Genomic DNA, 24,597 nt, shown 5'->3' with positions numbered 1-24,597 from the left:
TAAGCTCTATCTGGTGCTCTTCCAGATTATGGCCTTGGTTTTGAGGAACTCCAGGAATAAGGGGACTTGATCATAGACACACTAGTGGAGAGGGAGCATCAGGTGCCTGTAGATCAGCAGAAATGCTACTTTTTTTTCAGAGGAATGAGATGCCATACATACAACCTAATCTGGCTTCAAATTTCAGAAGCAGGGACTTTCCACTTAAATATCATCCCATGAGGTTTGAGGACTTTCTTTCTGTGTAAGACTGAGGATTTTGAAAGGAATAGCCTTGAATCTGCAAATTGCTTAGAACAGTGTGGCCATTTTAATAATATTGATTCTTCCTATCCATGAGCATGGAATGTTTTCCATTTGTTTGTGTCATCTCTGATTTCTTTTAGCAGTGTTTTGTAATTCTGGTAGAAATCTTTCACCTCCCTGGCTAGCTGCATTCCTGGGTATTTTGTTCTTTTTGTGGCAATTGTGAATGAGATTGCATTGGCTCTCAGCTTGGACATCGTTGGTGTATAGGAATGCTACTGATTTTTGTGCATTGATTTTGCATCCTGAAAGTTTGCTAAAGTTGTTTATCAGATCAAGGTGCTTTTAGGCAGAAACTGTGGGGTTTTATAGGTATAGAATCATATTGTCTGCAAACAGGAATAGTCTGACTTCCTCTCTTCCTATTTGGATGTCTTTTATTTCTTTCTCTTCCCTGATTGCTCTGGCCGGAACTTCTAGTACTATGTTGAATAGGAGTGGTGAGAGAGTGCATCCTTTCTTGTCTGGTTTTCAAGAGGAATGCTTCCAGCTTTTGCCCATTCAGTGGGATGTGGGCTGTGGGTTTGTCATAGATGGTTCTCATTATTTGGAGGTATGTTCCTTCAATGCCTAGTTTATTGAGGGTTTTTAACATGAAGAGATGTTAAATTTTATTGAAGGCCTTCTCTGCATGCGTTGAGATAAAACAATGACATTATTCACAATTACAACTCCTTTAAAATTCATAGGAAATCAAAAAAGTGCCCAAATAGTCATGGCAATCCTGAGCAAAAAGGACAAAGCTGGAGGCATGACGTTACCCGACTTTATACTACAAGGCTACAGTAAGCAAACCAACATGATACTGGTACAAAAACAGACACATAGACCAATGGAACAGAATAGAGGGCCCAGAAATAATACCACAAAGCTATAATCATCTGATCTTCAACAAAGCCAACAAAAACAAGCAATAAGGAAAGGACTCCCTGTTCAATAAATGGTGCTGGGATAACTGGCTAGCCACAGGGAGAAGATTGAAACTTGACCCCTTCCTTACACCATATACAAAAATCATCTCAAGATGGATTAAAGACTTAAATGTAAAACCTAAAACTATAAAAACCCTGGAGGAAAACCTAGGAAATACCATTCAGGACATAGACACAGGCAAAGATTTCATGACGAACACCCCAAAAGCAATTGCAACAAAAACAAAAACTGACAAATGAGACATCATTAAACTAAAGAGCTTCTGCACAGCAAAAGAAACTATCAACAAAGTAAACAGACAATCAACAGAGTGGGAGAAATTATTTGCAAACTATGCATCTGACAAAGGTTTAATATCCAGAATCTATAAGTAACTTAAACAAATTTACAAGAAAAACAAAATGACCCCATTAGAAACTAGGCAGAGGACATGAACAGTTTTGAAAAGGACACTTTTCAAAAGAAGACATAAATGTGGCCAATAAGGATATAAAAAAAAGCTCACCATCACTAATCATTAGAGAAATGCAAATCAAAACCACAATAACGTAGCATCTCACACTAGTAAGAATGGCCATTATTAAAAAGTAAAAAAATAACAGATCCTGGTGAGGTTGCAGAGAAAAGGGAATGCTTATACAATTCTGGTAGGAGTGTAAATTAGTTCAGCTGTTGTGGAAAGCAGTATGGCGATGTCTCAAAGAACTTAAAACAGAATTACCATTTGACCCAGCAATTCCATTGTTGGGTATATACCCAAAAGAATATAATTTGTTTTACCATAAAGACACACGCATGTGTATGTTTATTGCATCAGTATTCACAAGAGCAAAGACATGGAATCAACCTAAATGCCCATCAGTGGTAGACTGGATAAAGAAAATGTGGTAGATATACACCACAGAATACTATGTAGTCATAAAAAAGAATGAGGTCATGTTCTTTGCAGCAACATGGATGAAGCTAGAGACCATTATCCTTAGCAGACTAATGCAGGAACAGAAAAATAATAACGTATGTTCTCACTTATAAGTGGGAGCTAAACAATGAGAGCACATGGACACAGACAGGGGAATAACAGTCACCGGAGCCTACCTGAGGGTGGGGGTTGGGAGGAGGGAGAGGATAAAAAAATACCTATCAGGTACTTGCTTATTACCTGGATGACTAAATAATTTGTACACCAAACCCTCCCGACACACAGTTTACCTGTATAATGATCCTGCAGATGTACACTCCTAAACCTAAAATAAAAGTTAAAATAAATAAACTCTAACATATGAAAATTAAATTTAAAAAGCTGAGGATTTGCAATTCATGGAATATGAAGCAATATTTGTGTTGTCTTAGTTTTAGCTTATGAATACAGGGAGAAATCATTTGACTTAGGGCTTGTTCTGGGTCAGTTGATCTTTGGCCTTGTTTCCATAAATAAACCCTTACTAGCAGCTTTGGCAATGCCAGCAGGAGGCCAGACTATGCCTGGTTTCACTATGTCCTGGCACTATCTCAACCAAGAGTGAAAATCTTGGGACAAATCAAGTTTCAGATTTTGTTGTTGTTGTTTTAGGAAATGGCTTTAAATACCAATTTCTATTCTCCAAGTACTTTAAAAGCAAAGTAAAATTAACATTACATTTAAAGCCAACCACCTCAACATGGCAAATGCCTCTCAACGCCTAATGGACTCTTTCCTTGGGCTAAATGGACAAGTTCCTTAGCAGAGCTTGTCTAACCCTTGCCTTGCATTGCACCCCAGTCCCGCACAAGAAGCTGAGTAGAAAAAACTGCATTGTGCTCTGCATGAGAAACGTACCTAAGCATCTAGGTTTAGGGCCTAGTTTGTAATTAGACAGTTTCTTGGAAGTACATCAAGCTCAGCCTCAAATCAGAACATCTCTTGGGGAGCAATCTGTATTTAGATGTTTCATTTAAAAATTCATCATTGAATAACAAAATATTTTGTTGCAACTCCTACTTGATGCATTCCAAATTCTCTCTGTCTTTTAATTACAATTATGTTATTAATAATGGATGGAATGGGTGGGGGCATGGGTGAGACTATGCCAGGGGCTAAGTAGCAAACAGAGGGTAGCATAAGCAGTTAAGTCATAGTTCTTTGGGGCGGCAGAATCCCGTGAATCCCAGGCCAAGAGCTCGCCACTCTGGCTTCCTTTTATATATGCCTGTTATCTACATCCTACAACTGCTCTGATTTGGCCAGGAGAAATGTTTTTTCAAGTAGTAGGCAAGGAATGAAGTTCTAAAGGTATTTGGCAGGCAGACTAAGTTTCCCCCAAAAGCTGGAAGAAGGACTTACTCTTTGTGTCTATACTGACAGCCTCTACTTTTCCCATTATCTTTTCATGCTATTTCAGCCATCCCTCCATTGAGACTGCTCTTGTCAAGATCACCAGTGAACTCCTGTGTCACCCAATCAGTCTTCTCTTTTCACATCCGTTTGGTCTCCTAGCACCATCCATCTGTTGACTGCTGTTGGGTGTGGTGTAGTCCAGGGCAGGAGGAGAAGAGGGAGAAAATGTTATCACAAATTCTATTCTGAACTACACTATGTTTAGTAATATGCCTATGTTGTCACCCTCATCCTCATTTATGTTCTCCTTGTTCTTCTTCCTCAATGGCCACTCCTTCTCAGTCTCTTTAATTGGCTTCTTCCCACTTACCATTCTCTAAATGGTAGTTTCCTTAAGATTTGCCTCTGGGCTTTCTTGCCTTCATCTACATCCTGCTCCAGTGAGATTATCTACTCCCCATGCTTTAATCTTTATGCAGTTGACGTCTATATTTCTATCTCCAATCCTAATCCTTTTAGCCACATGTATTGTGCTAAATCTTCTCTCTAAAGCAGAATACTAAAGGGCAGTCAACTGATTAATAGCCTTCTCTTTTTCTTTTTGGCCTTCGATTTTTTGTTTCTAAATTGTTCACCTAGAGTTACTCTTTCCACAAATATTAAAAGATAATCTATACTGTGTCAGACACAGTGCTAGCTGCAGTATAGACTGGGGATTAGGAAGTTACAGGTACTGGGATATAGGATTCCATGTGATACTAGAAAAATGTGTATACATTCATGCAGTCATACGTACATAGCTACATACAAATATTCATTCAGCAAATGCTAATGGAGAATGCCAATGTACTGGGTGCTATGCCACACACTAGAAATACCATGAGGACAAGGGCATAGCTCCTGCTTACATGCAGCTAGTGGTTTAGTTAAAGTCAGAAGGCAATCAAAAGGCAGCAGGAAGTGTCATATAGAGATAATTTGGGTGCAGAAATGAGTACAGATGAGGGTTCATATCTAGCCTGTGTGTATTTCTGTGTGTGTTATTATAAGTTGTATTGAAAATATTGATATTTGCTACATCCTTGCCATCTCGCCCCATGATATACACAAAGGAACACTCTCTGGGTCTTTCGTTCTCAACATACTGTGTAACTCTAGCCCTAGTGAGCTGAATTTGACTTGTAAGACCAGAAGGGCTCATTTTGTCTAAACTCAGTCTCTCTGGGTTTCTACTAAGCTCTATAAAGGAGGGGGTAGAGATGGACTGGAGAGAAAAGAGGAAACTTCTTCTCAAGAAGAAAGGGGGTCCGGGCCTGCTTTTGTCATACTAGCTATCTAAGAGCACCACTTGAGAGAGATGGCCTGGCACTGCAGGGAGATATTCTCACAAACAGATATAAAAGAAAAAAGCCAAAGTCACACTCATCCTCATTTTTGTGCCACATATGCCCAGACCTTTAATCCCTTTTCTCAATGAAGTATAATCTTTACCCTATAACATTCTGACCGCTCCCCTCACTGTGGCCTTGCGGTCCCCAGTGTGGAGGGATGAGGGAGAATGGGGAAACATTAATGCTTTCCCTGGAGACCACAATATGTAAGTTTTCACAGAAATTTTCCCACAGAAGGTGTGCTTCCGTAGAAAGGAATGCATAATAGGTGCTCAATTAGTATTTATTGAATGAGTTAATGAATTATAGAGTGAGCAGGAGTTAGCCAGAACTTATTCTGGTCAGCCATTATGATGGATGTTTGGGGTACACAGGTGAATGACATCAGGTCCCTGCTGTCAAGGAACTCAGCTCCCAGTCTGATGCAAGAAACTGATATGCTAACAAGTAATTACCATTTGGTGTTATACTTATTATAACAATAGCTAATGCTTAGTGAGCCCTTACTATGTCTAGGTAATGCTTCATGTGCATTATCTCATTTTATCCTTACAATTACTCTACTTGATATATTTTGTTATTTTCTACTCTCCAGATAGTCACAATGAAGTTAAATAATTTTCTCGGAGTCATCCAAAGTGCTTTTGATGTTGGCTTGGGTCTGGGCTGAAGCTTGGGGGAGTTTTGACAGCCATCAGTAAGATTACTAAGGGAGAGCTCTTTTTGTGGAGAAAGAAGCATCCGAGGGATAGAGGTTTAGGAAGAAGCAGTAGAACATTGTAGGCTCTTTGGTCTGTGGGAGCACAACCAGTGTAGACTGTGGGGCCTTCGCCCCAAGAGATGATTGAGCCTTATCAAGAATTTTGAGATAATTCCCCTTTGCTCAAGTACAACTTTGGGACCTTGGAATCACCCAATATGCCTTGTCTTTGTCTCTGATACTAAGGATGCCTAAGTGACCCTGAAGAAGCAATGGAGAGATGAAGTTTTTACAAGAACTTCCTGATCCCACAGCCCAGCCAGGCTGTACATTTAACCACTGGCATTTGGAAGCAGCAGGGCTTGTAAGTGTGCCTCATGCACATCAAAATAAAACACATACCACATAGATTCCATTTTCACATTTTTACGACATTCTTGAAAAGACCCAACTATAATGATGGAGAACAAAGCAGTGGTTGTCAGAATATAGAAGAGGGTTTGTGTGACTTAAAAAGTATAGCATGAGGGACTTTGTGGGAGTGATTGATTGCAATGGAGGTTCCACAGATCTACACATGTGTTAAAACTCATAGAACTATACACCAAGAAAAGTCAAGTTTACTGTATGTCAATTTTAAAAGTCCAAATATAAAAGAAATAAAGCACACATCATCTCGTGTGCTCTATTTTTCACCTCTCAGGCTGTACAAAATGTGAGCATTCAAAGCCTTTAATGATTTGGCAGAGTTGGAAGAAGGGTAATAAGTGGGGAGATTACTTGAACTTGGCACCTGATTCTTTTCAAGTCATGAGAAGCTAATTTATCCTCCCTTGTACCATCTCTGTTGTTAAGCTACTGAGTGCCCTTATTTGAGAAATGCCCTGTGGGCAAAATAGGATGGTGCATGATCACAGTCCGCTCTCCAGGAAACTAGTGTGAAGCTGTGTGAAAGAGCATTTTTTTTTTCATTTTTTCCCCAAACTGTGGCCCGCAATCCTCAAACGCTCAGCGTCCCAGCTTTCTCACAGTATTTGACATGACTGTAGTTCTTGTTTGTACTTGCAGCACAGAGCAAGCAGACCTTGACTTCCAGAGGCCCTGACCCATTGAAGGGGCCGCCCAACAAAGTTTCCTGCAAAGAGTAAAGACTCTGAAACTTCGATTCTGATGCTATAGGACAGGAGGACCACTCATCTTTACCAAATCAGGGAGGTGTCCATCTCCCCTTTCACTCTTTTCCTCCTCCTGAAATCTTTGGGGTGCCCTCCTGAGGGCAGGGGGAGAAGAGGGAGAAAATTTTATCACAAATTCTATTCTCACTAGATTATGTTTAGTAATATGCATAGTATTTTTTTTTTTTCCAAACTCCTCTCCTTACTGGATGTGGGACCTTTGGCCAGACATTTAAAACTTTTAGATTCTTTTCACATCCTGGATATATGGCTAATGACTACTGCCTTGCTTAACTCCCAGAAGGACTGAGTCAAATGTCAAAATGCTGGGTACATTTGTATGAGGATGAGGATCAATTGAATAGGATTTATGATGGACTGGCTTGGGCCCCTACGATTTATTCCCATTAGAGCATATGTTTTGATTTCCAACCTACTAAGCAACCAAATCACAGATGCAGTTTTGCAACCTACAGCACATTTCATCTCGTTTATTTTCAAAGCTGTAAGCAGAGAGCCATCCTCCATGAGCAGCACACATTTGAAATAAAATACAAGTTCCCATCAAGATATTCTGACATGTTAGACAAGATGCCAAATTGTTACTGTGCTTCAGACTTATTAGGCAGGATTGAAAAGCAGTTTTTAGCATGATGGCAGGTCATTTCTGCTTGCCCATGAAATGGCCAAACCAAGCACTTTTTAGATGTGATCATATGGGGAAGAATGTTCCTCCTCCTTATCTTGATCAGCTTTTTAAGGAGAAGGCATCCTCATCTTCCTCTTGGTTATGGGTCCGCTTCCTCCACTGAACTCCTATGGCATTTTGCTAGGACCACTTTTACAGCTGTTGCCACATTTTGCCTCATGGTATAATTGTTCCTCTACTTGCCACATATCTGAGTAGTGTAGGAGCCCCTCCACAGCAGCCAAGTCTTGCTCAGAGAACTTTGCAGAGTTCTTTGTGGATTGCTGGAATCTGGGATTTAGCTCTTGAAAGTTAAAGCAAAAGAGGTTACACCGAAATTCTAAGTAACCTATTTTTTTCATTTAGAAAAGTAAAATTGTATCTGTTGATTATAGAAGATTTTGAAATATTGGTTAGTAAGACATAGAAAATTAAAATCATCTGTAGTTTTCAACTTAGGATACTGGGTTCATAACTTAATCCAGTTTAATGTATACAGTTACTATGGCTGGTTCTGCAAATCGAAAGATGACTATGACATGGTCAATGCCCTCAGTAACCTCACAGACTGGTAGGGAAGACAGATACGTGAACTTAGTCCTGCAGGCAATGGGGAGCCAGTACAAGTTTTGAGCTGGACATTGACATGATGAAAATATTTCTGGAATTTTTATCTAAAGGCAGCATGGTGTGGAGAAAGCTGGGCCTGAAGCATAAAGACCAATTCGCATAAAGACCAATTCGGAAGCCAATGCTAAAAGGCCACACATTTTACTGTTTGGCCTTAAGGTAAACACAATGTTATTCAACCAGAGTGACCTCCTTCTCAAGTTAGTTACCCTTGGGACTTCCAAAAGTGAAACTTAGAGATTAGCTTTGCCCTCATCACATTTACTGAGCAACAAGGCACTTTGACAGCCTCTCACTGTTTGTGTTTAGAGTGGGGGACACAACTTTTTCTCTCTCCATCTGATTGGCTGAGCTCCCAGTCTACACTACAGAACCTGAGTCTTAGGAGACAGATATTTAACCCCAAGTCATGCCACTGGGTGTCCATGTTAAGAAATATCTTAGGGAATCTTCCACAAGTCTGTTGCTGTTCTCCTCCAAATATTTTTGGTTTTCTTAAAAAATTAGTATGCCCTTGGTCAGAAAGGTATAGAACCAAAGATGTTTGCTTCTGCAAACCTAAGGATGACTATGACATGGTCAATGCCCTCAGTAACCTCACAGACTGGTAGGGAAGACAAATACATGAACTTAGTCCTGCAGGCAGTGGGGAGCCAGTACAAGTTTTGAGCTGGACATTGACATGATGAAAATATTTCTGAAATTTTTATCTAAAGGCAGCATGGTGTAAAGAAAGCCGGTGACCTCTCTTTTACAGACAGAACAGCTAGTCTCCTGGTTATACTTGCCCTAGGTCTCACATATTAAGTGGCAGAGGTGGGCCTAAAATTTAGCGTTAGACAACTAACACTGGTCCTCCATGAAACACAAATTGCTTCTAGGCTGGAGGAGATATAGGTGTCTCTATAAGCCAGGGCCTGTAGAGCAGGGGCACTAGCCATAAAGACCAGACAACAGCCCAGGATGGCTACTGATCCTAGCAGACACAGTTCTATAATGTAAAAACAACCAAGAAGCAAACCAACTTAAAAGTTAACAGACACACACACACACACACACACACACACACACACACACACTACACTCCTGACATGTTTTTCCCCTTTCTATTTTCAGTTGGGGTTATCTTTCAGTTTAGTTCTGGGAAGGGGTTTCTTTTTTTGTCGTTGTGGTTGAGACGGAGTCCCTCTCCGGTCTCTGTCGCCCAAGCTGGAGCGCAATGGTGCGATCTCAGCTCACTGCAACCTCTGCACACCCCCACCCCCCGCCCTCCCGCGCCGGGTTCAAGCGACTCTGCCACCTCAGCCTCCAGAGTAGCTGGGATTACAGGCGTGTGCCACCAGGCCCGGCTAATTTTTGTATTTTTAGTAGACACGGGTTTTCACCATGTTGGGCAGGCTGGTCTTAAGCTCCTGACCTCATGATCCACCCGCCTCGGCCTCCCAAAGTGTTGGGATTACAGGCGTGAGCCATTGCACTCGGCTGGGGTTTCGTTTTAATGGCTCAGTAAACTGTGATCTGGTACAAAAGGATGGGATTAATGGGCTCTTTTGCTGCAAATGGTACTAAGCTCTTCCAGCTTTATACTCTGCACCTTTTATCTTCGTGGCGATATTTAAGCTTTTAAGGACGTTGCTGGGAGTGACGACTCCATTGGATCCAATCTCAGGAACAGTAAATGGCCTTCAACTCTTTTTAAAAAAGATGCATTGCAGGAGTGAACTGCTGCAAACTGCTGCAAACTCCATGGAGGAGTGACCTTTAAAATGGGGGGTGGGGGGATAGTTTGCTGCTGGCTTTTCATTCCCTGTAGCCACCTAAGCTGTTGGGGAATGGACATGGGAAACACACTAGCTAAAGGGCCCATTTGTTACAAACTGAGTTTTGGTCATTTTTTCTTATTTATATACTTATTTGTTTTTATCTGAGCACATAAATCTATATTTGAATGCTGCAAATCACCCTTTGTTACACTCTTCTTAGTAGACACATATGTATTTAGGGTACAGCTGAGTACAGTACATTTGAGGTTTTGCAAATGATAAATTCTGCCATCTCCATATTCTTGGATAAAACTAGAAATACACAGGCTTTTGTATACGAACAGCAGAAGCTGATGACTCTATTCACATATAGCTATGTTGGATATGTTGGAGGCCTGGAGCAATTTGGCCACAGAGAGTTGTTTTTAGGATTGGAAGAACACTCAGCCCCCAAACTAGATAATGTGACATGTTCTATTTTTAATGAGTTTATTTTCTTGTTTCAGCTTGGAGGTGTTAGTTCATCGTTTTGATTCTTGACAAAAGGATTCTGCTTAGACTCTCAGCTCCCTGGTGGGTTGGAGTTTCACAAAAACATCTGCGCTAAAGCAAAGGGGATTCATACTATCCTAGACAGTGTTCACTTGAAGGTTTCCCAGAAGCATCTGTAGCTGGAAGAGTCCCTGTCAGTCTCTACTCCCTAGCTGTAGATGGGCCCACAGCCCTGCTGCCTAGGGAAAAGTTGACAGTTATTAAAAAAAAAAAACAGCCCTTTTCTGTCATATTCACTTCAGTAAAGGACCAAGTCTGCTATTGCAAATGGGCTGTATCCAGTGCACAGGTATTCTGGTATCTCCTACAGCACATAGTCACTATTGCTAAACATTTTGGGTAGTTAGAGTCAGTAGTCCCAAAGATTGGCCATAAGGGCCAAATAAGATTGGAATTCTGATTATGGTAGAAAATCCTTTTTAATGTATTATAATTCATAAGAAATAGACTTCAGAAGAGAATTGATTTCAGAGCTGTATTCCTGCTCATTTCTTCCATCCTTTCTGTTCATTTTTCATTTCCTACAGACAATCAATTAGTAAATGTAGGATACGTGTGTACCTCAGTGACCCAAGTTGCTAGGGATACATCAAGTGCTTCAGCCCATAGCAGCCAAGGGAGGTTTGGGGTGTCTCTACAGCTCTTGACTTTTCAACTTCAATTATAAATCCATTTGGTCAAGTTGTGGTTTGAACTGTGTGTGTCCCCTGTGATGCACTTTTGGTAAACAGCTGCAGTACAGAAGCAGCTGGGCTTATTTGTTACCATCTCTACTAAGCCGCCATATAACTGCATGGGGACGGTGATACAGCAAGTGAAAACGGGTAGAGTTTTACAGCATAGGGTCTTAGATTCATGATGAGAAATGACACTGAACAAATGACTATTTTTGACTTTAAATAGAAGAGATTAAAAGACTTTCAGATCTGTTCTCCTAGGTTTTTGTTCATACATCTTCATTTTTGCGATTTCTCCGGATTTGGAGTCTGTTTTGAAGGGGAAAGTTGGCCCATCCAGAAAGCACCGGATCATATTTTCCATTCTGTATGCATTTTGCTATCTGCCTTGTTTATGTGAACATTAAAATAAATAAAACCTTACAATCTAAACTTTGCTTTTACTAAATAAATGAACACAGCAGTTATTAATTGAATTCAGTCAGCTTTCAAATAGAATCATTACTTTATTACAGTATAAACACAGTGGAAAGAAATCAGACACCCTAGCACAGTGCATGTTTTGCTAGGAATTTAACAAATATGTTGGCCTCAATGTGAACAAGTTATATATTTTTTTCAGACTTGAGGCTTGTTAACTCTTTCAGGCCACTTGCTGCTAGGCAACCAATACCCTGCTGGCTTGAGTCCATGGTTTTAAAAATTATCAGTTTCCTGCCAGACTGACTTGAGGACTTTTGAAAAAGTAAATTTTGAATGCATGCTGCGCTTTTTAGGCAAATCTTTATTAAATGTCTTCTCTGGCAAAGATAGTACTAGAAATATACTGAGAAGTGGGAGAAAGGGTGGCCCCTTCCTTCCAAGATTTTATAATCTTTTGATATCAAGCACACACACACACACACACACACACACACACACACACACACACACACAGCTAAGGCAGTTCACAACAATGGACCAGGGTGAATGCTGTGGACTGCAGTTGCTCTAGAGTAATACAGGGAAAGGATGTCTTATCTGTGGACTCATGCAGCCAACAAAGGAGCTGTGGAAAAAATAGAGGAGTTTGAACTGGACTAAGTAGAAATGGGGGTATATTTTAGGCACAAGGGACAGGGATTCAGGATGCTGTCAAAGTGAGGCAAATAGTTGTTGAGGGCCTCTTATTTGCTAAGTGCTAGGGACAGAGTGAGGAATGAGCCAGGCATCATCTGGCCTTTAATGGAGCTTTTTAGTATGAACACAATTATTTTCATTCTTTTTTACTGGCTAACTTATGTGCAAATTTCTGTAAGTAAGTTGAGAACCCATTTGAACTGCTCAAATAAAAAAAGGAGATTATATTGGAAGAGTCCATGATTACAGCCTGCCCCTAGATCTTGTGGTAGGATTCAACAACTGAAAGTTTGAGAACCCAAGATTACTTGTTTCATCATCTTGGGTCATATAAACTTTTGTTGCTGCTTCAAAGACCACTTCAAGCTTATCTCTTCTCCACACTAAACACACACACACAGAGAGACACACACACACACACACACACACACACACAGAGTTTTCCTCTTCTGCTTTCACACACTTGTAGTCACATCAGCTTCCACTTTAAAACTACTTCCTAGTTTGAGGATCCAACAGAGATTGACTTGAATTCCTGTGTCCTGATGCCAAAGTCACCCAGCTTTGGTCAGTTGTCCATTCTTATCCAATCAGTGATGCCTATTTGGGCAAGTTGTATGACTTTGAGAAGAGAACAAGAGAAATAAATGATTGTCATTTCAAGTACAGTCAGTCATTGTTGAGAGAAAGAGCAAATCCCAAGCAGGGGCTTAATATCTGACCTGAACACATGTGTTTGGTAAACAGTAGTGAGACTTGTATCACTGAAAACCAGGCTTTCCATGGAGGGGCATGGTGAGAATGAAAACTGGAAAGATATGGTGGGTCTATATTTTAGGACGTCATTTTAAGTGTGGAAAAGGGAAGTCTTCATGTCTCATTGATATTGAGGCACATTCTGACTGGCTAAGTTGCAGAGAAACTGTAGACAAAATTCTTGTCATCAGTGAGGAGGTGTGGGACTGGAGTGAGCATTTTCTAAGATTGTTTCCCAGCCTATAGTTATTTGGTTTGAGGCTCCTGCAGATTCCTTTCTGAGAGGAACTTTGTTTATTACTCTTTTGCTGTAGGGATTATGCTGCCCTCTGGGGATTGGGAGATTCCTGGGATGTGAGGGCACCCCTGGGTGGGGTCTTTTTCTTTCTGAGAGCACCGCGATAACATCTTCCTGCAAGAGGAGTGTGTCCCTCAAAGGCCGAAATGGAAAAGATTCAAAAATCTCTAACTCTCACCTCTCTAGATATAATGCAATACACATATAGAATATACATGCCCTTTTTCTTGGAGAAAATTTCCAAAAATAAGATATATATTTTTGTGTAATGCCTATTGCTTACTTTAAAATATTTAAATTATTTAATTTTAAAATTTATAAATTATGTATTTATTAAAATTTAATATATAAATTAAAATATTTGCTCAGTCTGGAGGATTCAGGAAAGCACACAAATTTGGCATATTACAAAGTACATGTAACCCTAAACATCCAAAGAAGATCAAATTGGTATTTTATTGTATTCTTTTTCAATGTTTTATGCATGTATGTTATACAAAATAAAATGATTACAATACTATACATACAGTTTTGTATCCATTTTGTCTTAGTGAACATTTCTCCATGTCATTAAATATTCCTGGTAGCTATATAGTTTTACTGTAATATATTTTAATATTTACTAATTTAGGGGAATTTAATTGTCCTAAATAATTATTCCGATAAATAGCTTTATATGTAAATATTTGATCACATCTTTATTTCTTTAGTCCAGCTTTCAAGGCTTGAAATTATTAGGGAAAATGATGTGAAATTTTAAGGTCTTGTTATATAGTTCCAATTTATATAGACCCCCAGTCTATGGTAGCGGCTGACTACCTCATCCTTGCTGGTACTAAGTAATAGCATGGCTTGTAGTTTATATCAGCTTGGTAGGTGGAACGCTTCTCCATGGTAAAGACCATGGCATTTTCTCCTTTAATGGTGTTCAGCACATATCAGGCACACTATGCAAGTTTGTTAAATAAATCATAGTCAAAGGAGAAGGTGGTAAGATCTATTACGAAGACATGTTTTTTTGTTCTAAGTCTGTGGGGAATTCAAGAAGAAATTAGTTTAAGCTTGTGTAGGAGGATGCAGTAGAGAGGTGGGATTGAGAAGCGAAGGGCCAGTGAACAATGATACTGTTAAATGCATTGAAACTTCAAATAAGCAAATGGGGCCAAGGAGAGAAACTTGTTAAAAATGAAGTGTGGTCTATTTCATGGAGCACAGCATAGGTGACTGCAGAGTAGATCATGGATTGTTTCAATGTAAAAACCAGTGGGTTGAACCCTAGAGCCCAGTTGGATGGGTCTATGGATGGGTCTATGGAGCACAGTTGGATGGGCCTCCGACTAAGTGTGAACTGTGCAGGGAGATTAGGTTGTAACAATAAAAGTTACAGTTCTACATTCATTTATTCATTCTTTCATTCATCCATTTAACACATTGTTTTTGAATTTGGCCTGTTTCTGTAGTGACGATGGAGCTATGAAGATAGTACTAGAGCTTTCATTTGGGTGGTTTGTTCAAATGCGTTAGGTCGGTTGGTGCAAGGTTTGTACTCTGGCCCTAAATAAATCATCTTGGCTTTCTAAGAGGTGACTGAATAAGACTCACTTACTCTGCTCTGGCCATATAGGCTTAGTTGTTGTATTTTTGTTTTTGTTTTTCTTTCTTGAGACTGAGTCTTGCTTTGTCGCCCAGGCTGGAGTGCAGTGGCGTGATCTCAGCTCACTACAACCTCTGCCTCCCGGATTCAAGCAATTCTTTCTGCCTCAGCCTCCCAAGTAGCTGGGATTACAGGAGCCCGCCACACCACACCCTACTAATTTTTGTATTTTCAGTAGAAGTGGGGTTTTGCCACGTTGGCCAGGTTGGTCTTGAACTCCTGATCTCAAGGGATGTGCCCACCTCGGCCTCCCAAAGTGCTGGGATTACAGGTGTGAGCCACCGTGCCCAGCCCCTTGTTTTAAAAATATACTAGGCATGCTCCTACATTAGAGCCTTTGCACTGGTTGTTTGTTCAACATGGAATGGGCTTTTCTTAGATGTCTATTGGACCAAATCCTTCATCTCATTCAAGTCTTTGCTTATCGCTCACAATGTCAATGAGGCCCACATTGATCATCCTATTTAATACCACAACCTACCTCCCACTCTGGCACTCCTTGTTCTCCTTATTCTGCTCACATTTTTCTTTTTTCATCAAATTATACCATACTTTTAATTATGCTACATAATTTACTTATATGTTATGCTGATTGCATACTGTCTGTTTTCTCCCACTTCATGAAAGCAAGAATCTTTGTTTGGGTCATGCTGTGTCACTGAACCCTAAAGGAGTGTCTTAAACACAGTAGTGCATTATTATATTTTTGTGGAATGAATAACTCATCATGTGCTTGGCAGGCAACATTAAAGAGGATCTTCAGATTTTTCAGAAGAGCAAGGGAGAACTCCCCTCACCTGCTGAGCTGTTGGCTGTGGACTCCAGATCAAAGTCTGAGGAACCACTCACCTCCATTTCTTGGCAGTGGAGAGTGAGATCAACAAGAGAGATAGGAGAAAATCATGGGGAGACTTTGAGTTTAGAGGGTCCTGGGCAGCTCTCTCACAATAACAGTAAGGTAGGGAAGCATCTCAGAGCTCTTTATGCAAAGGCCCTCATCCAAAAATCGAGACCAGATTTCCATGACCATTGCTGTTGCTGTTCTTACTACATCTGAGCTCTTCCATGCCCTCTTTTCCCTTTGATCAGTGGTGTCAGAAAGCAGATGCATACTAACATTTACCAATTGTAGGACATGTCCCACAACGAAGCTCATTCTGCCTTCAACACCAGAGCAAGAGGGAATTATGGGAAGAATATTCACCAGGGTAGACTTTTGGGGAAGTGATGCTGAAGCCTCAGTATTAAAAACTTGGAGCAGTGGGGGATGTGGATGGGCTTTCTGAAAAAGTTTTGAATTTATTAGTGAACCTGTTACTCATCCCTTTTGGGGTGTGGGTAATGGAGTGGAGGGAGAGCCACAGCTGCTTTGTGCTGAGTCATACGCTTGTGTTTGTACTTTGCCTTGCATAGAGGAATCCAAGGTTGCTTCACAATGACTTGGTTAAAATTAGCACTGTCAGAGAGCTCCGTAAAGAGTCTTGTGAAAAGTCTTCCAAAATAAATCAACCTTCCTGTTGGGGTTGAGTCATCCCCTTCTTTCTTCAACTGGAAATGATTTTAATGGGAAGGTAAGCCAGTAAGATCTTTTTGGTTGCCGATTTTGAAGGTATCATTGTGATAACACAGGGTGGTAAGGCAGAAAGTGTCAGACAGTGGTAGGGGGTCAAATGTTGGCTGTGGCGTAACTTGCTGTGTGACCTTGCATGAGTATCATAACTTTTCAGAGTTTCAAGTGTCCCAAAAGTAAAAAGTGGGGCTACCAACATCTGCTTTGCCGAGAGACAATAGATGTGTAATTAAGTGGAGCAATGTATATGAAGCATACTTCTTGGCACATAAAGTCCCTCAACAAATGGGAACAGAAATGATATTGATCACTGCTTTCCACATATTCTTCAAACTAACATGTCTCAAAGCAAGCTTATCACTCTCTGCCCTGCTGTTTTCATTGAGACCTGCTGCTACTTGAATTCATTGTAGCTCTCAGGAAACCATCATTCACCCAGGCATATTGATATATTGATGGCTGATCACTTCTCAATTACCACTACCAGGACTTTAATTCTGCCCTTCACCACTTCATACATAGAATATTTTACCAGGTTTTTTTTTTTTTTTTTAACTTTCCCCCTACCTCAAACACCTGGGAGTTCACCTACTAGGGTGGTCCCTTGGTTAGGATGTCCCTTACGGTTTCCTTCCTATTCTGCTTACTGTGTGGCAGTTGAGTGAGCATAGCATACTACTGTATGTCATTCAGGGTTATGGACTCAGTTACTCAATTCTGCACCCCAACCCCTTGACACAGGGAAGCACAGTATAGGTGCTCTATAAAGACTGGCTAGAATTGAAGTATATGGGAAGCTGTGACCAAGACGTCCTAAAGGCATATTAAATAGTGGTTGTCACCATCTAAAATTACCTTATTTATTTCATTATTTGCATATCTATATGTCCTTGCTGCCTTCATTATTGTCCATTTTACTCCTGTATCATGTCACAAGAGGTAGATGTCCAGACAGCTCATCATTCCTCAAGTCATACCTCTAAGAGAGCAGGAACTGTATCTTTCCTATTCATGGTTATGTCTCCAGACCAGAGCCTGGTGCTTCTAGTGGCCATCTTTTCCAACTGTGGGAAAAACCTGTCTGACAATAGAGCCAACACAGAGAAAAGCAAAGCTGAGAGATGGAGAAAAAAGGCAGAGTGCTGCTGATATTGTTCAAACCATAAGATCCTGGCATGCCTGAAGTGAACATACCCCCTTGGACATCCCATATGTGAGCCAATAAATTCCCATCATTGCTAAAGCTAATTTGAGTGGGGTTTCTGCCATTTGCAATAAAAAGCAAACTGACTAATACATCCTCTCCTCAGTACCTCATAAAGCTTCATGAAAATCAAAAGGAACTTTCCATTTGCAACAAGTTATTCATTCTAGTATCAAAGTTTCAACATGGTTATCCTTTCCTGCCTTACTCAATTCAGGAATGCACCAATAATGATGCCACTAGAGAGAGATTTCCTTGGTAATGGGCTGAAGAGCACCTGATGTGGTGGTAAGGGTTGCTCCTTTAAATAAAGGAATAAGCATTTGAGCTAACACATGGATGATGAGAAGCAGCCATACATATGCTTATCTAGAGGAAAAGCATTCTAAGTAGAGGAAACAGCAAGCACAGAGGCCCAGAGACAGGAAAGAAGAAGCTGATTGTTGGTTTAAGAACTCCACAGAAGGTTCATGTGGCTGGATCTTTGTGAAAGAGGAGGAGACATATAGGAATGGAGAAGAAGCCAAGGGCCATGTGCACTTTTCAGGAGAATGCATGAATTCAAGATTGTCTGACTTGGGACAGGAGTCAAATGGGCGGCAACAAGGGCAGCAAAGAAGGCCTGCATTCATTCAGTGAAAATGCAGGGTGGCTTGCCTGGCACTGTTTCACGCAGTGTAGCTGTACAAGATGGTGTCTGCAGGGTTGTACCAGCAAATCAATTGCTGTACTACCAACCTAGAAAAGTCAGTGAATCATCCTTATATTTTGATCATATAGTTAAATATATTCCGTTTGATCCTTTAGTAAGTTAGTGGAGCTGAAAATAAATGGATTAGGTTGGAGAAATAAGTTAACCTCTCACATTCATCAGAGCTTAATTTAGTGATTGCCTCCTTATTGCCCTAGATGGGCCAGTAGTATGACCCATCTCACTGTGAGTACCTTACTCTGAGAATTTTGCTCAGTTTCCAAAAGGCAGCACCATAGATATGAACACACAATGTTAATAAGCTGGTATTATGAAGCACATCATACTGCAAAAATTCTGATGGTTTCATAGAATGTGAATATAGTAGATAGAAATGTATTTTTATTTCAAAGTCCTGGGACATTATGCTTGCAAAATACCTTGAAATCGTGTTTATTCTCTAGCATTCATAGCATCCCTAAATCATTAATATGCACATGTTCCAAATAAGGAAACTGTCTGTCATATAGGAATATTTTGTAATGCAATTTAATTCATCTCATTTCAACAAATATATATGGACTGTTTGATGTGGATTTATGGTGTTGAAAGTAGACTGCTTTTTGTAAGGAGAATGAATGGATGCAGGCTAGAGATGAAGCGGGGCATCTTACAAAGAAATGTTTCTAGTACCATGGGTTAAGTGAAATTCTACCATGAACTACGAAAGTGACAGTGGAAATGAGGAATAGGCAAATACAGATATTTAAAAGCAAAACCATCAGGGCTTGGTGACAGATTAGAGGTGAAGAAATAGAGAAGGACAGGAATCAAGTATATGTCTATGAAGTCAACTGGAAATATTGTGGTGTTCTTGATAGAAGTGGGAATTCTTGAGGAACTCTAGTTTGGGAAGATGATGTCTAGTGGACAATTGGAAGGCAGGCCTAGAGCTGAGCAGCAAATTAAGTCCTGAAGATGGACATTTTTAGATCACCCCCCTAAAGATGATGACTAAAGCTATGGAAATGGATAAGCTCATCCAGTAGGTCAATGTAGAGAGAGACTCCCCACAGATTGAGGCGTGCAGAGCCCTATGCAGGCCACCTTGACATAACTCACCATACCTTTCCCCATGAGTGTGATTGGCACCCTTGGGGCCATTTTGATTTCGGATATAAGCCTTGTGCTATAGAATAGGAAAATTTATGAAGACATTCAAATTCTGCCATTGAAAGCCAGTGTGGTATCTGGATAATGGACATGTTATTTTGAGAAAAAACATTGCTTACACTCAGGATATTAGTTAGAAATCCCCAATTTAGTTTCATTTTTTTTGTGTGAGAAAATATGGCAGTGGAAACATTTTCAGAAATGGGAAGTCATTTCTTAGAGAGATTTATTTGGAGCATAGCCAGTAGCAAAATCAGCTATTGACACCTTAAGCTACAGACTTAAGATGAAAAACAATGATAGAGAGGTCGTTTTTTTTGTTGTTGTTGTTTTGTTGTTTTTTTTTTTTTTTTTGAGTTCCATAAGGAGAACATGATTAGCCTATTCTTCTGATTGTTTTATGTTTGCGAGTTCTGTCTCCTCAGTTAATTTTCATCTTTTCTGAAGCATGGGTTCTACCTCATAATTTTTGGATCTCCCTGCAGTGCCTAGCACAGTGCAGAACTAGTGTATCACACACTCAGATATCTCTTGTGGAAAAAAATACATCACAACAAGTAGAATTACAAGGTTAGATTCAAAGGTCCTTGAAATGCAGTCAAGTCTGTTCTCACGCCTCTGTGCAGGATAGCAATCAAGCTGCCCCATAATATTGACTGTCTTCTTGTAAATCACAAGATATGTTTCTTAGGCTGAGGCAAAAAGGACAAGTAGAGAAACCATAGTTTCATGGGCTCTTTACAGCTGGAAGTCAGAAATACCACGAAAGTTGGAAGTAATAGTGACAGGAAAGGGTACATGTAGGACTCACACTAAGGAACTTGGTAGCATTTCTTATAATACCTATTCAATCAACATTGTCAGTAACACGGTCAGGGCTACATTGGAGTAAGAATTAATACTATTAAAAGAAATAATAAATATGCAAATAACCTGAAAAATATCCGTAGTATTTACCACCTGAATTCACACAGTGAAATGAAGCCTTTACACACTTTGGAGTTCACATTGCACAACTTCTGCATGGTGGTAGTGATGAGTGCATGAATGTTCTAACCCAATTCGTTTTCTATGACCTCTTAATTCCCTCTAGGAACTTTTGTGAAAAAAATGTCATGCTCAGTAGAGATTGCTTTTGATGTAAGTAATACTTAGTGGTTTGGTAGGTAAATATTAGCTAATTTTTGAGTGCTAACTATGTACCTGGCACCAGACTGAGACTTTTACATAGATTATTTTATTTAATGCTGATAATGGCCCTCTGAAGTAGGTTTTATCATTTGTATTTTTATAGATAAGAAAGTAAAGGCTTAGAGAGGCCATGTAATTTGTCTGAGGGTATACATGAAGTAAGTGGCAGAGCTAGTGGTCAGCTAAACCTAAAATCCATGCTCTTAAGAGAACTAGGCTAAACTGCTTACATAATATATTAACTACATTAAAATTGATACCAGTTCTTTTGTGCATAGTTGGCCGAGTTCATAGAGACTTGCCAAGAACTGTTGAAACCTTTATCTACAGAGATAAGGTAGACAGTAGAGAAGACCAGGAGCACTTGGACCATATTTCCCAGCAGTTACTCTCACCTCGCTCGTCCAGTCCTTTCTCTATCATTACAACATTGAACACTAGTAATACAACTCTGTGGCAGAGTTGATAGCACATCAGTTATCCCCATTTACCTTCTGTGTGATAGCATTTCATGGTATTATATGAAATTATCTAAAGGATGATATGATTTGATGTTGCTAAAGTGAAGAAAACCACCAAAGGTAGACTTGTTCTCATTTAAGAAAAAGCCTCCATAGGTTAACTTGAATAATCTTCAGCTTGTCTTGTGGGACCATGTCAAATTAATTTCAGCTGATGCTGTATAGGAAGGAACAACCTTTATCATCATCATTATCATAAATTCATACCAGTCATTATTCCATTCATAGTATATGCCAGGTGAGTTATGTTCATTATTTTAATCAATCTTACGAAAAAAACTCTCTAAAAACAGGGATTTTTATGCTGACTTCATAAAAGAGGAAATAGATACTCTGAGAGATTGACAGTCCCATGATCATATAGCTAATTAGTGACAGTCATATGATTTAAATGAGTTATGCTTGACTTCAAACCTGTTTTTTCTATTACTATTATTATTTAACTATGATCACAAAATAATTTAAACATACAGTGTTGGTGCAGAAATATTACCTACTCTCACTTGCCTGCTGACAAGATAAACAAATGTCATTTGGCCTACTTTGCCTCAAATCTACTCTCCCCTCTTCTTAATTTTTAAAAAATTTTTATTTTGAAATAACTATAAATTCACAGAAGATTGCAAACAAATACACAGAAAAGTCCTATACAACATTCCCCAGCCTCCTCCAGTATTAGCATATAACATAATTATAGTACAATATCAAAACCATTGGTAAAATCTTTAGAGCTTTCCCAGATTTCACCAGTTAAACATGAGCCCCTTTGTGTTTTTCTGTGTGTTGTTTTATGTAATTTTATCATATGTGTTGTCTCATGTAACCACCGTGACAGTTAACATACTCCACTATACAGAAGACTGTTCTGTGCTACTCCTTTACAGCCATATTCATCTCCTCTCTCTTCTCCCTAATCCCTGGCAACTAAGTTGTCCTACATATCTACAATTATTATTTCACAAGTACTAGATAAAAGAAATTATATAGTATGTAACCTTTTGAAATTGACCTTTTTAACTCAGCAACAATTTCCTTCAGATGTATCCAAGTTGTTGCATGCAGTTGTGTCGGTTTACCCATTGAAAGACGTTTGAATAATTTACAATTTACAAAATTTATTTATTTTTCTAGGATAAATGCCCAAGAGTGCAGTTGTTGAGTCGTATGATAAGTTCATATTTAGTTTTGAAAGGCACTGCCAAACTATTTTTCTGAGTTTTTGTACCATCTTCCTCTTATTAATTTACACTTTCGAGATTATATGTGATAAAGTCATTAGAGCTTTCTCTTCCTTGAAATTTCCATTTATATAATTTGCCCGTCTTTTTCTAATGAGATTTTTGGCCTCTTTCTTGCTGATTTGTTAGAGTTCTTTTTTAAATTATTAGCACTAATCCTCGTTAAATATACCACAAATGTTGTCCTGTCTGTGACCTGTTAGTTTGTACGTGGTGTATTTTTTCATGCATACATTTTAAATTTTAATGTAGCAATGTTTATCAGTCATTTCCTTTATGGTTTGTGGTTTTTGTGATCTTACATAATAAATTCCTTTGCATTTTTTTCCATAGGTAAGCCCCTAGGGACCAAACAGCCTCTTTGCTCTTAATTGATACACAGTATTAATACTTCTGCTGATCTAATTTGGAAGCACCTCATAAGTTAGAATTACACTGGAAGGCATAAGGGAAATTCTACAGACAGATACTCTGATGGCAACAAATGATGATTTTTCAGGCCATCTCAATTAATTCTACTTTCTTCCAGTTGGTCATCTACTTTTGGTCATCCTTCAGTGCTCAAATATTAACTCCTCTGCGAAGCCTTTCATTACATTCCTCAAGACTTGTTTTGAGCTCCTGCTTTATGTTTAATCATCATCTTGTGCTACCCTCCTTATTGTACTTCTCACACTGCAGTGTAGCTGTATGTTTACTCACCTGTGTCCCCCAACCAACTGTAGATTGCATGAGAGAAGAGACTGTGACTTGTTTAATAGTTGTATCCCTCAGTGCAGTGTCTGATGGATAGTAAGTGATCAGTGACCCTTTATCAAATGTGGGGATGAAAGAGATGCATTCAAAATAAGCAGACCTAAGACCTCACAGAGCAAAGCAGCCTTAGTGTGCTTAGTTCAAAGGCAAATTCCCTTATAGTCCATGGGTCCATTCCTCATGAGAGAAGCAGGACTGGCCAGAGCTCTGTAGTCTGACCTGCTTAGAACAGTGAATAAGGGTCTGGGGGCCACAGGATGCAGTGTGGGGGATTTGTGCTCAAGGCAGTGAAGACCTTGGTAATAAAAGGGGTTGTTTAATCATGACAGAGTGAAGGAAAACCAAAGTCCAATTCCCAGAGTATGTACGAATAACAAGGCTCAGTGTCAAAAGCCAAGAGCTGCATTAAAATAATACTGAAGCACAAGAAAACAGGAAATCCTATTTTTTTTTTTGTCTTCTGTTTAAAGAAGCAGAGAATTGTGTCAATTGTTTTGGAAAGGTTTTAGTCCAAAATGGTTAAACTATCTGTTGGTATGATTCGTCTCCCCATCATAGGCACAGACACATGTTCTTTCCAAGGGAGATGGATCAGACTCTATAAAATTCCTAGTACCTCCTTATGTCAGATGAAGTAATAATGGACATTCCTTTCAGATTCATCATAACTCAGGAAGATTGTTCTGATGGTAAGTGAGGGAAAATAGAACCTCCTTTCGAGTCAATTCCTGCTGCTTCTGGACTTTGCCATTATGAAGCAAAAAGTCTGTTTTTAATTAGAGACCTGAAAGCCTAATTTTATGCCATGGTAACCTGTGGGATCTGAAATACACACCCCCAGATGTTGCCTGTAGCAAAATATGTTCATAGCAAAGGCAACTTAAAAGTAAAAAAAGGAAAAATAAAGCATAACTCCAAGGAAGCAGAAGATATAAAGAACACACTTTGATAATCTTTAGTGAACTTGAAGCAATTGTCCAAAAGTGAGCTATCATTTAGAATTTATTGTAAATGATAGGAAAATAAAATACCTTGAGTGGGACTTGCTGCTCAAAAAGTAAAGTGAAGTGTGGGTGTCTTAGTTAGCTGGGGCTACTGTAACAAAATACCACAGACTGAGTGGATTAAAGAATAGGCATTTATCTCCCACATTTCTGGAGGCTGAAAGTCCAAGGTCAGGGTGCCAGAATTGTTGAGTTCTGGTGAGGGCTGCCTTCTTGGTTGCAGATCGCTACCTTCTTGCTGTACCTTCACATGGTGAATAGAGGATAGTCTGGTATCTCTTCCTCTTCTTGTG

General features: G+C 39.5%; 1 protein-coding gene across 3 annotated transcripts in view, besides 2 other annotated features; it reads left to right on the top strand.

Moving 5' to 3' along the window:
• Window positions 1-24,597, top strand: part of FGF13 (fibroblast growth factor 13) — a 590,297-nt gene that overhangs the window by 263,104 nt on the left and 302,596 nt on the right. The window lies entirely within an intron of this gene.
• Window positions 16,262-16,406: an enhancer, noted in NCBI's record as "145 bp enhancer 215 fragment used in the MPRA reporter construct; PK_construct_3360". NCBI's record gives its function as "activates an SV40 promoter by MPRA in HepG2 cells {active_cell/tissue: HepG2}" and the evidence as "EXISTENCE:reporter gene assay evidence [ECO:0000049][PMID:23512712]".
• Window positions 16,329-16,339: a transcriptional cis regulatory region, noted in NCBI's record as "NFE2L2 motif; enhancer activity is reduced when this motif is scrambled". NCBI's record gives its function as "necessary for full MPRA enhancer 215 activity {active_cell/tissue: HepG2}" and the evidence as "EXISTENCE:site-directed mutagenesis evidence [ECO:0005528][PMID:23512712]".

This window comes from Homo sapiens, chromosome X, assembly GCF_000001405.40.
Source record: "Homo sapiens chromosome X, GRCh38.p14 Primary Assembly".
Lineage (NCBI taxonomy): Eukaryota > Metazoa > Chordata > Mammalia > Primates > Hominidae > Homo > Homo sapiens.
Note: the sequence above shows the minus strand (reverse complement) of the source record. Positions and strands in the feature narration are given on the sequence as shown.